This window comes from Homo sapiens, chromosome 3 (assembly GCF_000001405.40).
Source record: "Homo sapiens chromosome 3, GRCh38.p14 Primary Assembly".
NCBI lineage: Eukaryota > Metazoa > Chordata > Mammalia > Primates > Hominidae > Homo > Homo sapiens.
This window is the reverse complement of record NC_000003.12, coordinates 128,871,555-128,885,349: the sequence shown is the minus strand read 5'-3', so window position 1 is coordinate 128,885,349 and position 13,795 is coordinate 128,871,555. Positions and strand designations below refer to the sequence as shown.

Below are 13,795 nucleotides of genomic sequence, written 5' to 3'. Positions count from 1 at the left end.
AATTCATATAAACAAAAGCTCTCCAGGATCCTACTATTAGGGAAGACCTGCTGTCCATCCACCATCACTGAACTCTCCACCAAGGCCCTGGCTGGAGGACCGGCCAACAGCTCTGAGAGAGGGACCTGAGGTCAAATGCTGCCTCACCATGCAGGTGCCAAACTGTGGCTGGTCCACAAATCACTCTTTGTTTACAATTACCAAAGTACAGAAATTGAAACTCAACCTTTAGAAACACTAAGAGCAACTGTACACTGCCACAACAACCAACACATGCTCCATGGGCTTGTATGGTGTGTGGCCTTGGCTTTTTGCCATCTAATTTTTTTAGTTATTCATTTTTATTATAGCTTTATGGAAGTGTTGACCTGGAACAGTATGGAAATGTTTAAAGTGCTCCTGAACCACAAATACAATGAGAAGCATTTAACTGGATGTTTTTTAATTAAATGGCAATAGGGATGAAACCTAAAGCAAAATATTATGAGTGGAAACCATTTCTCCCTCAAGAAGACTTCTCCTATGTATGTCACTTCTAATATAAATATCAACCAAATAGCCCTTACAATGGAAATCGGCAATGGTAAAGAAAACCATACATACCCTCTTCAGTGAAGAATTTTTCCACGGGTCCCAAGAACTGATTGATTTCATTAAGTTCATCTTGGCTAACTTCTGGAAATGGGAAAACTTCTTTCTAAAAATAGTAAATATTTTCTAAAAAATTTAATTTTTAGCACACTCCCATCACGGAAATATCAGTTAAAAGGGAAGGAAAAACATGTGCTCCACTCCACCCTGGCCAGCGGGACATGACGTACTGAAGGAACTGGAAAGCAAACCTCACAAGGTTCCTGAGATACAGAAACTATGTGCAGGCTCCACCACCCACATCCATCTCCCTCCCCTGTTCAAATAGGTTCTTCCCGATTTTCATCAGTTTTCCTTCTCAGTACAAGGGATGATAATAGTCCCATGAAACAAGGAGCCCAAGACTAACATTTAGAAGCCTGGGGGTCTGGTCCTTGATTTCAGGCTTACTCATTATGTGGCCTTCACCAAATCCCTTCAGCTCTCTAAACTACCCCTTTCTCACCCATAACATGCAGGTAATATTTACTCAAGGCCCTTGTGAGAATCGTGGAAGATAGTGGATGTGGAAACTCCTTACTGAAATGGACAATTCTACATCAATTATTGTGTGAGCTCAAAGATGCTATGCTGACAAGAGCACATCATGCTTACCAAGTCTCATCGATCCCTACAGCCGCTGTCTCTCCTGCTCACAGACATCTGCTCCCTGTGCTGAGCCCCTCTGGACTTTTGGGCTCTGCTACCCCTTCAATTGCCAGCATGACATGAGCTTTGGATGTGGGCTTCAGGCTGTTGAGCAGTGATGTCCTGAGTCAGAGCTATAAGCCCAAGCATCACCTGTCCTCATGGCGCCTCTCACCAAGTGTTCTAGAGAAGTCTTGGGGAGACCTCAACCTTCTCCTCAGACCTTGTACAGCTAATCAGCCAACAGATTTCTCTACTCTATCAATATGCTCGCACTGCTTTCTCCTCTCTGGGCCCAGGACCACAGGCTTATAGGTGAGTCCCTAACTAAAAGTGACAGCCAACTTAAAGGAATCCCTGCCTCCATCCATTCCAAAACCACCCTGAAGGTGGTATAGAAAAAAAAAAAGGTTGGAGGCCAGGCACGGTGGCTCACGCCTGTAATCCCAGCACTTTGGGAGGCCGAGGCGGGCGGATCACGAGGTCAGGAGTTTGAGACCAGCCTGACCAACATGGTGAAACCCCGTTTCTACTAAAAATACAAAAATTACACGGGCTTGGTAGCACGCGCCTGTAATCCCAGCTACTCAGGAGGCTGAGGCAGGAGAATTGCTTGAACCCGGGAGGTGGAGGTTGCAGTGAGCCGAGATTGCGCCATTGCACTCCAGCCTAGGTGACAGAGTGAGACTCCATAAAAAAAAAAGAAAAGAAAAAGAAAAAAACAAGCTTAGCTGGTTGCAGTGGCTACTGCCTGTAATCCTAGTCCTTTGGGAAGCTGACGCAGGGGGATTGCTTAAAGCCCAGGAGTTCAAAACCAGCCTGGGCGTGGTTGCACACGCCTGTAGTTCCAGCTACTCAGGAGGCTGAGGTGGGAGGATCCCCTGAGCCTGGGGAGGTTGAGGCTGCAGTGAGCTGTGATTGCACCACTGCACTCCAGGGTGGGCAACAGAGTAAGACACTGTCTCAAGGAAAAAAAAAACAAGAAAAAAAAAAAAAAACAAGCTGATGGCTCCATCACTCTGCAGCCTTTTATATCAAAGCTCAGTCTCCTTCACTGAACACAGAGGCTCACTGACACTTGGGTCTTGTGCAATGGGCTGTGTTAGAGATCATTCTGGTACCAGTGGGCAGGCCAGATAAGACTGCCTGGCAACTAATTGGCCTTCAGGTACAACCACAGAAAACCTGCCACACAGGAGAGATTGCAGGGGCGTGGGAGAAAGATCCTGATGTTATCAAATCAGGTCAATGCCTTAGGGGAGGAGAGTTCAATTGCAATAAACAGTTTGTAAATTATCTAAAAAAGTGGAACCTGTTATTCAAAGAAATCTAGTGCAGAAACCAAATATGTAAAACAGACAGAAGCAGGCGGCTCTGACTGAGACTGCTGATAGGGAAAACAGGCACCCAAATCCCACCCACTCAACTTCCCACCCATCCCTGCAGCAGTTCCAGGACACTCCATGAATAGCTTGGGTCCAGCTTAGGGCAGGGTGACAACCACTGGCCTACACAATCTGAGATTCTAAGCATCATGTCCCATGTTTCTGCTCTAATCCCAGTAAGGCTGTGAGAGATGACACTGGCCTGATCCAAAGTAGCAGCAGAAGGGCCTAAAAGTGGTCAGATTCTAAGAACCTAAAAGTAGAGAAAACCAGATCTTCTGTGGAATTAGAAGTGGACTAGGAGAATAAGAGTACAAGGTGACTCCAGGTGTTCTGTTTGAACAGGTGGAACAACAGAGCCACCATTATCTATGATAAAGAAGGCTGGTGGAAGGAGCAGGATTGGGTGGGAACCAGGAACTCAGTTTGGGATCTATTAATCTCAAATGCCTGTTAGACCTCTTAGTACAGCTTTTGAGTACAAAGGTAGATTAAAAAAAGAATCTTGGCTGGGTGTGGCAGGGCGTGCCTGTAGTCCCAGCTACTGGGGATGCTGAAGTGGGAGGATCTATTGAGCCTTAGGAGTTCAAGGTTGCAGTGAGCTATGATGGCACCACTGCACTCCAGCACAGGTGACAGAGAAAGCCCCCAACTCTGAAAAAGCAAAAGGAATCTGGAGTTCAGGGAGAAATCTGAACTGAAGAAAGAAACTTGAGGCATCAGGATATTGATGATATTTAAAGCCAGGACACTAAATAAGGTCACCCAGCAGATGGCTGTAGATGAAACGAGACCCAGCCTTAGTAAATTCCAACTTGGCTAGTTGGAAACACTGGTCACTGTTTAGCGGTCAAGGAGCTGAATAAGAACCAGCAATGGACACAGAGAAGTATCAGCCAGTGAAGTATTTAGAACATTCAGAGAATGGCGAGAACAGTGATTCAGAAACCAGAGACGAAAGTGCGTCAACAGGGTGGAAGGATGAACGGTGTCAGATGCCAATGATGGGTCAAGTAGGATGAGGTCTGAGAACAGATCACACAATTTGATAACAGAGAGGTCATTACTGACTTCTATGGCCATTAGGGACAAATGCCTGAATGGTAAGGGCTCAAGATCCAGTAGAGAGAACAGTTAATGATGCAGAGAAAGGAAAGAATTACCCTTGAGTAGGTGAGAAGACCTGGAGTCTAATGAGAGGTTGGTTTTGCCAGGAGCAGACAGTTCACAGTAACAGAATGTAGATAATACCGGCACATATGCAGCGGGAGGGGGTAACTGTGCCTGTGAACTTCTCATCCGACTGCATGGATTTTCCCAGTGGAATGGGAAGCAAAGCTGACAGCTGAGAGTAAAGGCAGGGCAGGGCAGGTAGTGCCAGAGGTTTAAAGATGGAAACAGATCTGAAAGATCTGTGTTCTTTCTTCACCATGCTGCTGGATAGCAGGAAGTCCCAGGATAGAGCACCACACTGCCCCAGGTCCTGGGTAAAAGGTTTTCCAATATGTTCAAGACATAGCTCCGCACTTTCTAGCTGGGCAAACTGCTTTTAGTCTGAGTCTTAGCTTCTTCATCTGTAAAGTTGCTTGCTATAAAGGTATCAGCCTGACAACCTCAGAGGAACGTTCCAAAGAGAAGCCAGGGAATAACTTCTGTGATACAGGATCAGCCAACATTCAGCCAAGTTCAAAGTAGGGCACCTCGACGAAATAGCAAGTATACTGTTGGTTTCCTTAGAAGATAAAATGAAATACAAAGGAAAGAGCAAGAAATGTGTTTATTCCTATTTTGTAGATGAATGCACTGAGGCACAGGGAGGTGCAGCCGTCAGCTCCAAGGTCACAAGACTAAGTGTTGAAGCCAGCTCTCTCTTCTGCTGCACAGTACTCTACAGTTTAAGAAGACTCTCCATGCACCGTTTATCTCACTGGGGCTCTACAACACATCTGTGAAGGAGACACAACACTATCTCCATTTTAAGGCTGAAAGAACTGAGTCTTGGCCGGGCGCGGTGGCTCACCCCTGTAATCCCAGCACTGTGGGAGGCCGAGGTGGGCGGATCACCCGAGGTCAGTTCTAGACCAGCTTGGCCAACATGGTGAAACCCCGTCTCTGCTAAAAATACAAAAAAAAAAAAAGCCGGGCAGGCGCCTGTAATCCCAGCTACTCCGGAGGCTGAGGCAGGAGAATCGCTTGAACCCAGGAGGGAGGTTGCAGTGAGCACTCCAGCCTGGGCGACAAGAGCGCGACTCTGTCTCAAAAAAAACAACTGAGTTTCAAAGTCAACGAGCCAAGACCAAACCCAAGTCTTCCAACTCTAAGAAGACAATGAGTGTTTTATAACCAAACTGTTACTATTGGCTGGGTTGTGCCACCCTTGGGAAGCATCTTGGAGCCAGATTTCTGAGGAACCTCAATGGCAGGGAGAGGCGCTGGGCTCACCTGGGGAAGGAAGCCCCAGGGCGCTGGAAGGTGACTGAGGAGGGACATGGTGTAAGCTGTTTAGGAATCAGAGAGGAAGCCCCGCACATTTCCAGACCAGACCAGCTGAGATGAAGGCTGCTTTGTTAATTACCTAGCCTAGAGTTTTCCGAATTCCCCTGACAAAATTTAGCTGGAACACGTCACCACCACATTTCCAAGGGTCCCCCGTCTTGGAAATGTCTCACCCTTTCTCTGGGAAGGTTTTCCTGGAACTCAGGAATCCGGAGTGTTAACACGCCTCGGCCGCAGGGTGTATCTCTCTGGCAGGTTTGGGGAATCTCACAAAGTTCAACACCAGTCTTGCAGCTGAGGGTGAAAAGCGGGAGCCAGACAGCAAGGGTTCGCCCAGGGCTCGCGTTACCTTCTTGATTTTGCCTAGGAAAAGCTCTTTGGCGAAAGCTCGTACAGGCGGGCTGGTGCGCAGTAGCCGCCGGTTCGCGGTAGAGACCACCAGACCCCGGCAGGCACGAGCCGCAGCCGTGGTGCGCAGGAAGAGCCCGCAGCCGCTCATGCTGCCCGATGTTCCCCAGCCTCAGCCTCAGTCTCCCCTTCTTAGCGCCGCAGGGACACACACACGTCTGATGACGTTACTGGCCCGCGACAACGTGCAGTACTCACTGCGCTTGCGCGGTCCCCCGCAGCAGGGGATGGAGAGGCCAGAAGGGCGGGAAGGCTACCACCTGCCGCGCCCAAGGCCTTAGTCACGTGCACCTGGCTGGCCCGCGCCGCCTGATGACGTCACACGCCTACGCTTCCCGCCGGCCCCACTGCGCTTGCGCGGCCAAAGGAGCTGGCCGGAGGAAATTGTAGGCCCTGGGCCGCGGGCATCTCGGCGGGTATAATCTCTGGCCGTCGTGACGGCGGTGACGGACCTGTTTTTCACATACCAGCGGTTGTTTCCATAAATGCCAGCCATGGGAAATCTCCCTGTGTACAGAAACCTAAAGGCCGGCTCAGCTGCCTCCACTTGTCTCTTTTGTCACTTGTGGCCACGAGGCCGTGGTAAAACTTGAGAAAAGCAAAAGAATGAGGGAAATGCGCTGTATTGGGGTCTCTGCAGGGGCACGGTAAGGGTAAGGGTCCATTTTTAACTGGATGGTGGATTCCTGAGATACTGTTTTGTTCCTAGTTGACATGTATGTTACATATATTTTTTGGAAAAGGAAAAGAAAGTGGGTGTTCAGTCACAGAGCGGTCTGGATACAACTGAGTCACCTCTGTCCTGGGAAACACTAACTTAAAAGGCAGGCGGAGGAAGAGAAACTACAGAGAGAGCTGAGAAGAGATGGGAACTATTGGATGGGATGGGACAGGCCAGGCTGTAACCGCCCAAGGTTACAGCCCGCTGACTAGACAGCTGATTTATCAAGACGGAAATTGCAATAGAGAGAGAGTAATTCACGCAGAGCCGGGTGTGTTGGAAAGGGAGTTTTATTAGCCAAATCGGTCTCCCCAAAAACGGATCGGAATTTTTAAGGATAATTTGGCGAGTAGAAGCTCGGGAAGTGGGAGGTGCATGATTGGTCGGGTTGGAGATGGACTGATAGGGGGCCGAAGTGAGTTTTTCTTGCTGTCTTCTGTTCCTGAATGGGATTGCAGAACTAGTTGAGCCAGATTACCAGTCTGGGTGTTGGTAGGTTTTACAACAGTGATGTTATTCCCAGGAACAATTTGGGGGACGTTCAGACTCTTGCAACCAAAGGCTGTATGGCCTCTAAACTGTAATTTCTAATCTTATAGCTAATTTGTTAGTCCTCCAAAGGCCAACTGGTCCCAGGCAAGAAGAGGTTGTTTTTTGTTGTTGTTGTTGTTGTTTTCCCGGGAAAGGGCTATTTTTGTTTTGAAGTTAAACTATAAACTCATTCCTTCCCAAGGTTAGTTCAGCCTACGCTCAGGAATGAACAAGGACAGCTTGGAGGTTAGAAGCAAGATGGAGTTGGTTAGGTCAGATCTCTTTCATTGTCTCGGTTATAATTTTGCAGTGGCGGTTTCAAGGCCAGGCCATAGGGGCCCACGTAGGAGGCAGGGCATGCCTGGCACCTCACAGCCCAACAGTGCTCTGAACGTGGCACATGGGCCCTCTACAGATCTTCAGCCAGCTCCTCCAGGAAGAATGCCACTCTGCTTTTTCACCCAGACCGGTAATCTGGCTCAACAAGTTTTGCAATCCCACCTAGGAACAGAAGACAGCAAGAAAAACTCACTTCAACCCCCTATCATTCCATCTCCAACCCAACCAGTCAGCACTCCCCACTTCCCGAGCTCCTACTCGCCAAATTATCCTTAAAAACTCCGATCCCTGTTTTGGGGGAGACTTGCTTGTTCCCCGACTGTAGCATTGACCACAGTGTTGGGAAATGCCTCCAGCTTCCATTGTGTCAACTCCTTGAGAAGAAAAAGAAATCCCTTTCATCTCAGCAAGCTAAGCTCAGCACCAAAAAAGATTACATTGCTAACACAACATCAAGAAAAAAGAGCTCAAAACTCTGCAAGGCGTAGAGTCTAAACTGCAAAATATTTGCAGGCATCTTTTCAGATTATTTTACCTTGTCTAAGGTCTCTCACCTGGTTTCTTCATCAGTGGTTGATATTTACTTGCTTAGCATTCAGCTTCACAAGAAGGTATTTGGAAACAACTGCCTTTGTAAATTATCCCCATAGGTAAAACAAAGAAAAATATACATATGTTGCAAAAACTGTTTCAATTTTGAGCTGCTGTACTTTTTTGCCAAACAAATGTAGTCAAATCAGTCAAGTACTCTGTTAATGTGTCAAATGTTTAGTGTACACAGGTCTCCCTAAATCAACCAAATGAGAAATCCAGTGGCACAGAATTTTACAAAACAAAAATTAGAAAAATGTTAAGGCATAGTTTCTAATTGCTCCAATAGAGTATAGCAGAAGAGTTTTGCTGTTTCACTACTATACTAGTTTCTAAATTCAGTTTCCTCATCTGTAAATATGAGTATGATACCCTTTATCTCACAGGACTTTTAAAAGGTTTAAGTAAATCCACATGAAAGCACTTAGCACAGCAAGTGATAAAAATGACAATAGTTACACTTTGATCCTTCCATCTTATATTTAAGTATTAGCCTCTGAGAAATATGATGTTGTTTTAAACAGTTTCCCCTGTTCAGTGTACTAAAAGAAAAACTTCAGCTGAATTAAATTTAAAGGAGCTTAATTGGCCGGGTCGGGTGCAGTGCCTCATACCTGTAATCCCAGCACTTTGGGAGGATGAAGTGGGCAGATCACTTGAGGTCAGGAGTTCGAGACCAGCCTGGCCAACATTGTGAAACCCTGTCTCTACCAAAAATACAAAAATTACTGGGCATGGTGGTGAGTGCCTCTAATCCCAGCCACTCGGTAGGCTGAGGCATGAGAATCACTTGAACCCGGGAGGTGGAGGTTGCAGTGAGCCAAGATTGCACCACTGCACTCCATCCTGGACGACAGAGCAAGACTCTGTCTCAAAAGAAAAAAAGTTTAATTGAGCAATCGATTCAAATCAGGCAGCTTTCTGAGCCAGAGCAAGCTCAGACACTCCAGCACAGCCATGTAATGGAAGATTTATGGACAGCAAAGGAAAGTGAGGTACAGAAACAGCTGGATTGGTTACAGCTCTGCCTTGCCTTATTTGAACATGGTTTGAACAGTTGGCTACATTTGATTGGCAAAAACTCTGTGATTGGCACAAGTATAGGCTACGGTCTGTTTATGCCTCCACTTATAGTTCACAATGTGCAGAAAACCTATAAGCCGAACTTAAAATATATAAGGAAGCAGCTTTAGGCTAAACTTGATTTAACAACTGTTTAAAATATCCTCATGGTAGTTCTGAATGTCTCCTCACATCAATACAACTGATTCACAACATAACTTAACAGAAAGTGAACATTCTTTAGCCATAATGTTAGTGTTAGCATAGCAGAATCCTTGACTCTGGGTATGAGGAACATTGAGTAGAAACTACTGCTTGATCCCTTACTATTAAAGCTGAGGCTGAGATTGGACTGATTATTTTACAAGCCAAAGACCACCAAACCATCAAAAGGTAGGAGAAAGGCTTTCCTGCAGATGCTGCTGCAAAGACCTGCCCCTTCCACCTTACACCACCATCCCCAAGGGCCTAGAGGCCTCTGCCTAGAGCTGGGGGAAGAGGAGACTGCGAAGAACGATCCCATCTTTTAAAAACCGGACAGAAATCACGGATTCCTTCCACTTACATTCCCTTGGGAAGAACTTAATTTGGGGGCAGGGGCTAGGAAAGGGAGTGCCTGGGCAGAAACGGTTTTGACAAGCGTTCGTATCAGGACAATTTGGGAAAACCCAGGTGAGTGATTACTGAGTGACCCTCGACTCCGGTGTTTTGACACCAAAATGTGCAAGGCTTCCTCTCTGATTCTTAAACATCTCAGGCCATGCCGCTCCCATGTCACCCTCTAGTGGCCTGTGGGCTTCCTTGCCAGCTGAGCCCTAGCCCTACCCCCGCCTTTGAGGTTCCGCAGAAATCTAGCTGCAGGGTGACTTCCACAGGTCTCACAACCCAGCCAATAGTAACAGCTAGGTTATTAAACACACCATCCTCTTAGAGGTGAAAGGCTTAGCCTTGGGTTCAATTCATTCAGCTTTAAAATGGAGCTAGTGATTTGTCTCACTTGAAGATGTTGTAGAGCCCAGTGAGATATGTAGTGCATGGAGATTGGAAGGTACTGTGCAGCAGAGGACATGGACAGTGCAGGCTCAAGAAGATCTTGTGACCTTGAGCAAGTCACTTTTCCTCCCTGTTCCTCAGTGTGCTCATCTACAAAATAGGAGTAAACACAGTAGCGTTTCCCCCTTCCTAGGGGTGCCTTGTTTTCAGCTTGGCTGAATGTTGGCTGATCCTGTATCACAGAAGTTATTCCCTGGCTTCTCTTTGGAACATTCCTCTGAGGTTGTCAGGCTGATCCCTTTATAGCAAGCAACTTTACAGATGCAGAAGCTAAGACTCAGACTAAAAGCAGCTTGCCCTGCTAGGAAATGCAGAGCTATGTCTTTAACATATGGGAAACCCTTTTACCCAGGACCTGGGGCAGTGTGGTGCTCTATCCTGGGATCTCCTGCCTCCCAGCAGCATGGCGAAGAAAGAACACAAATCTTTCAGATCTGTTTCCATCTTTAAACCTCTGGCACCACCTGTCCTGCCCTGCCCTTTCTCTCAGCTGTCAGCTTTGCTTCCCATTCCACTGGGAAAATCCATGCAGTCAGATGAGAACTTCACAGGCACAGTTACCCCCTCCCCCTGCATATGTGCCCACATTATCTACATTCTGTTACTATGAACTGTCTGCTCCTGGCAAAACCAACCTCTCATTAGACCCCAGACCTTCTCACTTACTGAAGGGTAATTTCCTTTCTCTGCATCATTAACTGTTCTCTCTAATGGATCTTGAGCCCTTACCATTCAGGCGTTTGTCCCTAATGGCCATGGAAGTCAGTAGTGACCTCTCTGTTGTCAAATCATGTGATCTGTTCTCAGACCTCATCCTACTTGGCCCATCTTTGGCATCTGACACCGTTCATCCTTCCACCCTGTTGACACACTTTGTTCTCTGGTTTCTGAATCACAATTCTCACTATACTCTGAATGTTCTAAATACTTCACTGGCTGATACTTCTGTGTCCATTGCTGGTTCCTTCTTGGCTCCTCAACTGCTAAACACTGGCCATGTTTTTCACTAGCACAGTTGGAGTTGTCTATGGCTCAGAATGTGGACATTTCTTTTCCTCTACAACCATCCCGTGGATGACCTAATTTAGTGTCCTGACTTTAACTACCATCAATATCCTGATGGCTCACATTTCTCTTGCAGCGCAGATTTTCCCCTCAACTCTAGTTTTTATATCTGTCTTTGTACTCAAAAGCTCCATATAGAGATCTAATAGGCATCTAAAAGTGGCATATGCAAATCTGAGTTCCCCATCCCACCCAGTCCTGTTTTCCCACAAGTGTTCTTTATCTAGTTAATGGCGACTCTTATTCCACTTGTTCAGACCGAACATATGCGGTCACTTGTGTCCCCTCTTATTCTCCTAGTCAACATCCAATTGAGCAGCAAGTCCAGTGCTCTCTGCCTTCAAGTTAGTTATATTGAGAATGACCACTTTTAGGCCCCTCCTCTGATACTACATTGGGTCAAGCCAGTGTCATCTCTCAGCATTACTGGGACTTGGGTTAATTAGGTAAGATGAAACATGAAGGATTAGAAATAAAGGCTGAATACAGACTTAAAACCAGGAATCCAGACTAAACACTCAAACATGGAGTCCATCGTGGCCCCAGGGCCTTTGCGCTTGGCATTCTCTCCATCTGGAACACTCTGCCCATTGCGTTAGTTGTTCTCTAAATGCCTTCAGGCATTCTCAGAAACGTCCTGACTTTGTCTTCCTTCATGGTACATGTCATCACCTGCCTGTGTATTGTTTCCTTATTTTTTTCTCTTTCTTTCCTACTAGGCTGTCAGCCCATCAGAATGGAGACTTCTGCCTGCTTCTCCCCTTGGTGTGCCTTGGTTTCTGGAACAGGCCCAGCATGCAGTGGGGTCTCAGTGAATGTGCACTGAAGGAGTAGATACTGGAGAGCACAAACACGTATCAGGTGGTGAGAAGAATTGCTCCTTTACTATTTATTGACCCCTATTATGTGCTCAGCCATGATCTAGGCTGTAGACAAAAGCAGGAATTTAGAAAAAAAAACAAAACCAGCTGCTCCTTGTTGCTGGTACTGTGCAGGAGAGACAAACAGAGTATTGCTCAGTGTGGTGGCAGAGGGAAACACCGCAGAGAGCGAAGCAGGGCTCAGGGAAACCAGGACAGCAGAGATGGGGCTGGAGTGGCCTGAGAGAAGGGCAGTGGTGGGAGAGGAGACCTAGGACGTCAGGGGGCCCAGGTCCTGCAGGCCTTGGGGCTGCTCTGAGGACTTTTACTCTGGGTGAGGTGGGAGGCCCAGAAGGATGCTGAGCTGAGGGGGACAGGCCCCGAATGTCATGAAGGGATGAAGTGGGAACGGCTAGCGACATGTGCACAGGGGAGGCTCTCACTGTAGATGGCATAGGCAGAAAAGGCTTCTCTGAGGAGGTGACACTGTACTGAGCCCTGGCCTTGGCCAAGTTTCTAGCTTCTGTGAACTTGGAGCTTTAACACCTGCCCTCTACGTATACGCGGGACGTCATGTTCTGAACAACCTCATGATATGCCAAGTCACCTTGCCTTGGCCCCTTATCTCCCACGTCACCTTCTTCCCCAGAGCAATCTTCCTCCGAAGGGTACACTTTTCTTTTTTATTTTTCTTTTTCAAGAGAGAGACAGGGTCTCCTGTCATTCAGGCTGGAGTGCAGTGGCGTGATCAGAGCTTACTGCAGCCTCGAATCCTGGGTTTAAGTGATCTTCCTGCCTCAGCCTCCCAAGTAGCTGGGACTACAGGTGTGTGCTATCCTGCCTGGCTAATTTTTTCATTTTCAAGTTTTTGTTGAGGTGGGATCTCACTATGTTGCCCAGGCTGGTCTTGAGCTCCTGGCCTCGCAAAGTGATGGGATCACAGTTGTGCGCCACTGTACCCAACCCACTTTTCAAATACAAACCAACCAATCCAGTGTCCGCACCCCAGACACTTCCCCTGTGGGCTGTCACACTGGGACCATTATCCTACTGCCCTAATCACCTCAGTGACAGGAACCAGACCCCTATGGACTGGAATGATTGGAACTGCCCTCTCCTAAGCTTGCTCATTGCCCCTCACTCTTCTCCCTGTAGGCAGCACAGGAAAGGTGCTTGCTCAGAGTACCCCTCCCTCTGCCTCCTGACGGACCCTGCTGCTTCCTGTGTGGCCCTGCCTTCCTTCTGGGAACTGTGACTATCTTCAGTTTTACTCATCTGATCTGCAGGCCTTATTATACCTCAAACTTTTTATTAATACACAAGAAATAGAGTGGCCTGGAATGACAAGACACTTTGGACACAAGATAAACAAATGAGAACATATGAACTATGCACCATTTTCCAATATTCTGAAGAAGTGTAATAGTTTGATACATGAGTTTTTTTCAGGTGATGGGAAGCACTGTGGCTGTTGGTGGGATCTGCTGAAGGCGGGGACTTCACTGTGATGATGGAGCTCTCTGCCTCAGGTTTCCTGCAGCCCAGCATTTTTGTATGAGGCCATGGTGTTGTGAATTTTTTGTTCCAAAGATTCCTGGATGTGATCTGCGTGAATTCCATGGACATCACGAGCTCTTTCCTTCTGTGATCCTGGTGGTCATTTATTATTTTTTAACCTTCCCGAAAAGATGCAGCGTGAACCTCGTGATCAAAGAGCAGCTCCTGGTAGGGCCTTGGTGTCTCCCGCTGGCCCATGTTGATTTACAGATGCCATATAATGTGGTGTAAGGTGGTCTTTCCCTGGGTTTGCAGGCAGCAATGTGTTGATGAGTCCTTCTCCCTTTTTTTAACATTTATTTTTTTGGAGTCTCGCTCTGTCGCCCAGGCTGGAGTGCAGTGGTGTGATCTCAGCTCACTGCAAGCTCCGCCTTCCGGGTTCACACCATTCTCCCGCCTCAGCTTCTCGAGTAGCTGGGACTACAAGCGCCCGCCACCACGCCCGGCTA

At 47.3% G+C, this 13,795-nt stretch overlaps 1 protein-coding gene and 1 long non-coding RNA gene across 6 annotated transcripts in view, besides 6 other annotated features; one reads left to right on the top strand and one right to left on the bottom strand.

Annotated features, from left to right (window-relative positions):
• The window catches only part of ACAD9 (acyl-CoA dehydrogenase family member 9), a 33,495-nt gene extending 27,765 nt beyond the window's left edge, over positions 1-5,730 (bottom strand). For 2 of the 5 annotated variants that reach the window (XR_427367.4, NM_014049.5), the window contains exons 1-2: positions 5,509-5,730; positions 604-697 (exon numbers count right to left, since the gene is read on the bottom strand). Coding sequence is in view for 1 of the 5 variants with exons in the window: in NM_014049.5 (NP_054768.2) it covers positions 604-697; positions 5,509-5,658 (244 nt within the window). In the remaining 4 variants the exon portion in view is untranslated. Of the gene's footprint in view, positions 1-603; positions 698-5,238; positions 5,260-5,332 lie in introns of those variants that run through there. The other 3 variants (NR_033426.2, XM_024453484.2, NM_001410805.1) reach the window with 3 other exon arrangements.
• Positions 4,304-5,155: an enhancer, noted in NCBI's record as "H3K27ac-H3K4me1 hESC enhancer chr3:128599038-128599889 (GRCh37/hg19 assembly coordinates)". NCBI's record gives its function as "activates a minimal SCP1, AML or CMV promoter by ChIP-STARR-seq in naive H9 embryonic stem cells {active_cell/tissue: H9 hESC(naive)}" and the evidence as "EXISTENCE:reporter gene assay evidence [ECO:0000049][PMID:30033119]".
• Positions 5,156-6,008: an enhancer, noted in NCBI's record as "H3K27ac-H3K4me1 hESC enhancer chr3:128598185-128599037 (GRCh37/hg19 assembly coordinates)". NCBI's record gives its function as "activates a minimal SCP1, AML or CMV promoter by ChIP-STARR-seq in primed H9 embryonic stem cells {active_cell/tissue: H9 hESC(primed)}" and the evidence as "EXISTENCE:reporter gene assay evidence [ECO:0000049][PMID:30033119]".
• Positions 5,156-6,860: a biological region, named in NCBI's record as "H3K27ac-H3K4me1 hESC enhancers GRCh37_chr3:128597333-128598184 and GRCh37_chr3:128598185-128599037".
• Positions 5,464-5,543: an enhancer, noted in NCBI's record as "active region_20499". NCBI's record gives its function as "activates an Ori minimal core promoter by ATAC-STARR-seq in GM12878 lymphoblastoid cells {active_cell/tissue: GM12878}" and the evidence as "EXISTENCE:reporter gene assay evidence [ECO:0000049][PMID:35858748]".
• Positions 5,604-6,153: an enhancer, noted in NCBI's record as "active region_20498". NCBI's record gives its function as "activates an Ori minimal core promoter by ATAC-STARR-seq in GM12878 lymphoblastoid cells {active_cell/tissue: GM12878}" and the evidence as "EXISTENCE:reporter gene assay evidence [ECO:0000049][PMID:35858748]".
• ACAD9-DT (ACAD9 divergent transcript) lies at positions 5,914-13,437 on the top strand. The gene is made up of 3 exons (NR_186174.1): positions 5,914-6,214; positions 11,649-11,790; positions 12,945-13,437. It is a non-coding gene; the product is annotated as an ACAD9 divergent transcript (long non-coding RNA).
• Positions 6,009-6,860: an enhancer, noted in NCBI's record as "H3K27ac-H3K4me1 hESC enhancer chr3:128597333-128598184 (GRCh37/hg19 assembly coordinates)". NCBI's record gives its function as "activates a minimal SCP1, AML or CMV promoter by ChIP-STARR-seq in primed H9 embryonic stem cells {active_cell/tissue: H9 hESC(primed)}" and the evidence as "EXISTENCE:reporter gene assay evidence [ECO:0000049][PMID:30033119]".
• Positions 13,438-13,795: the final 358 nt, after the last annotated feature.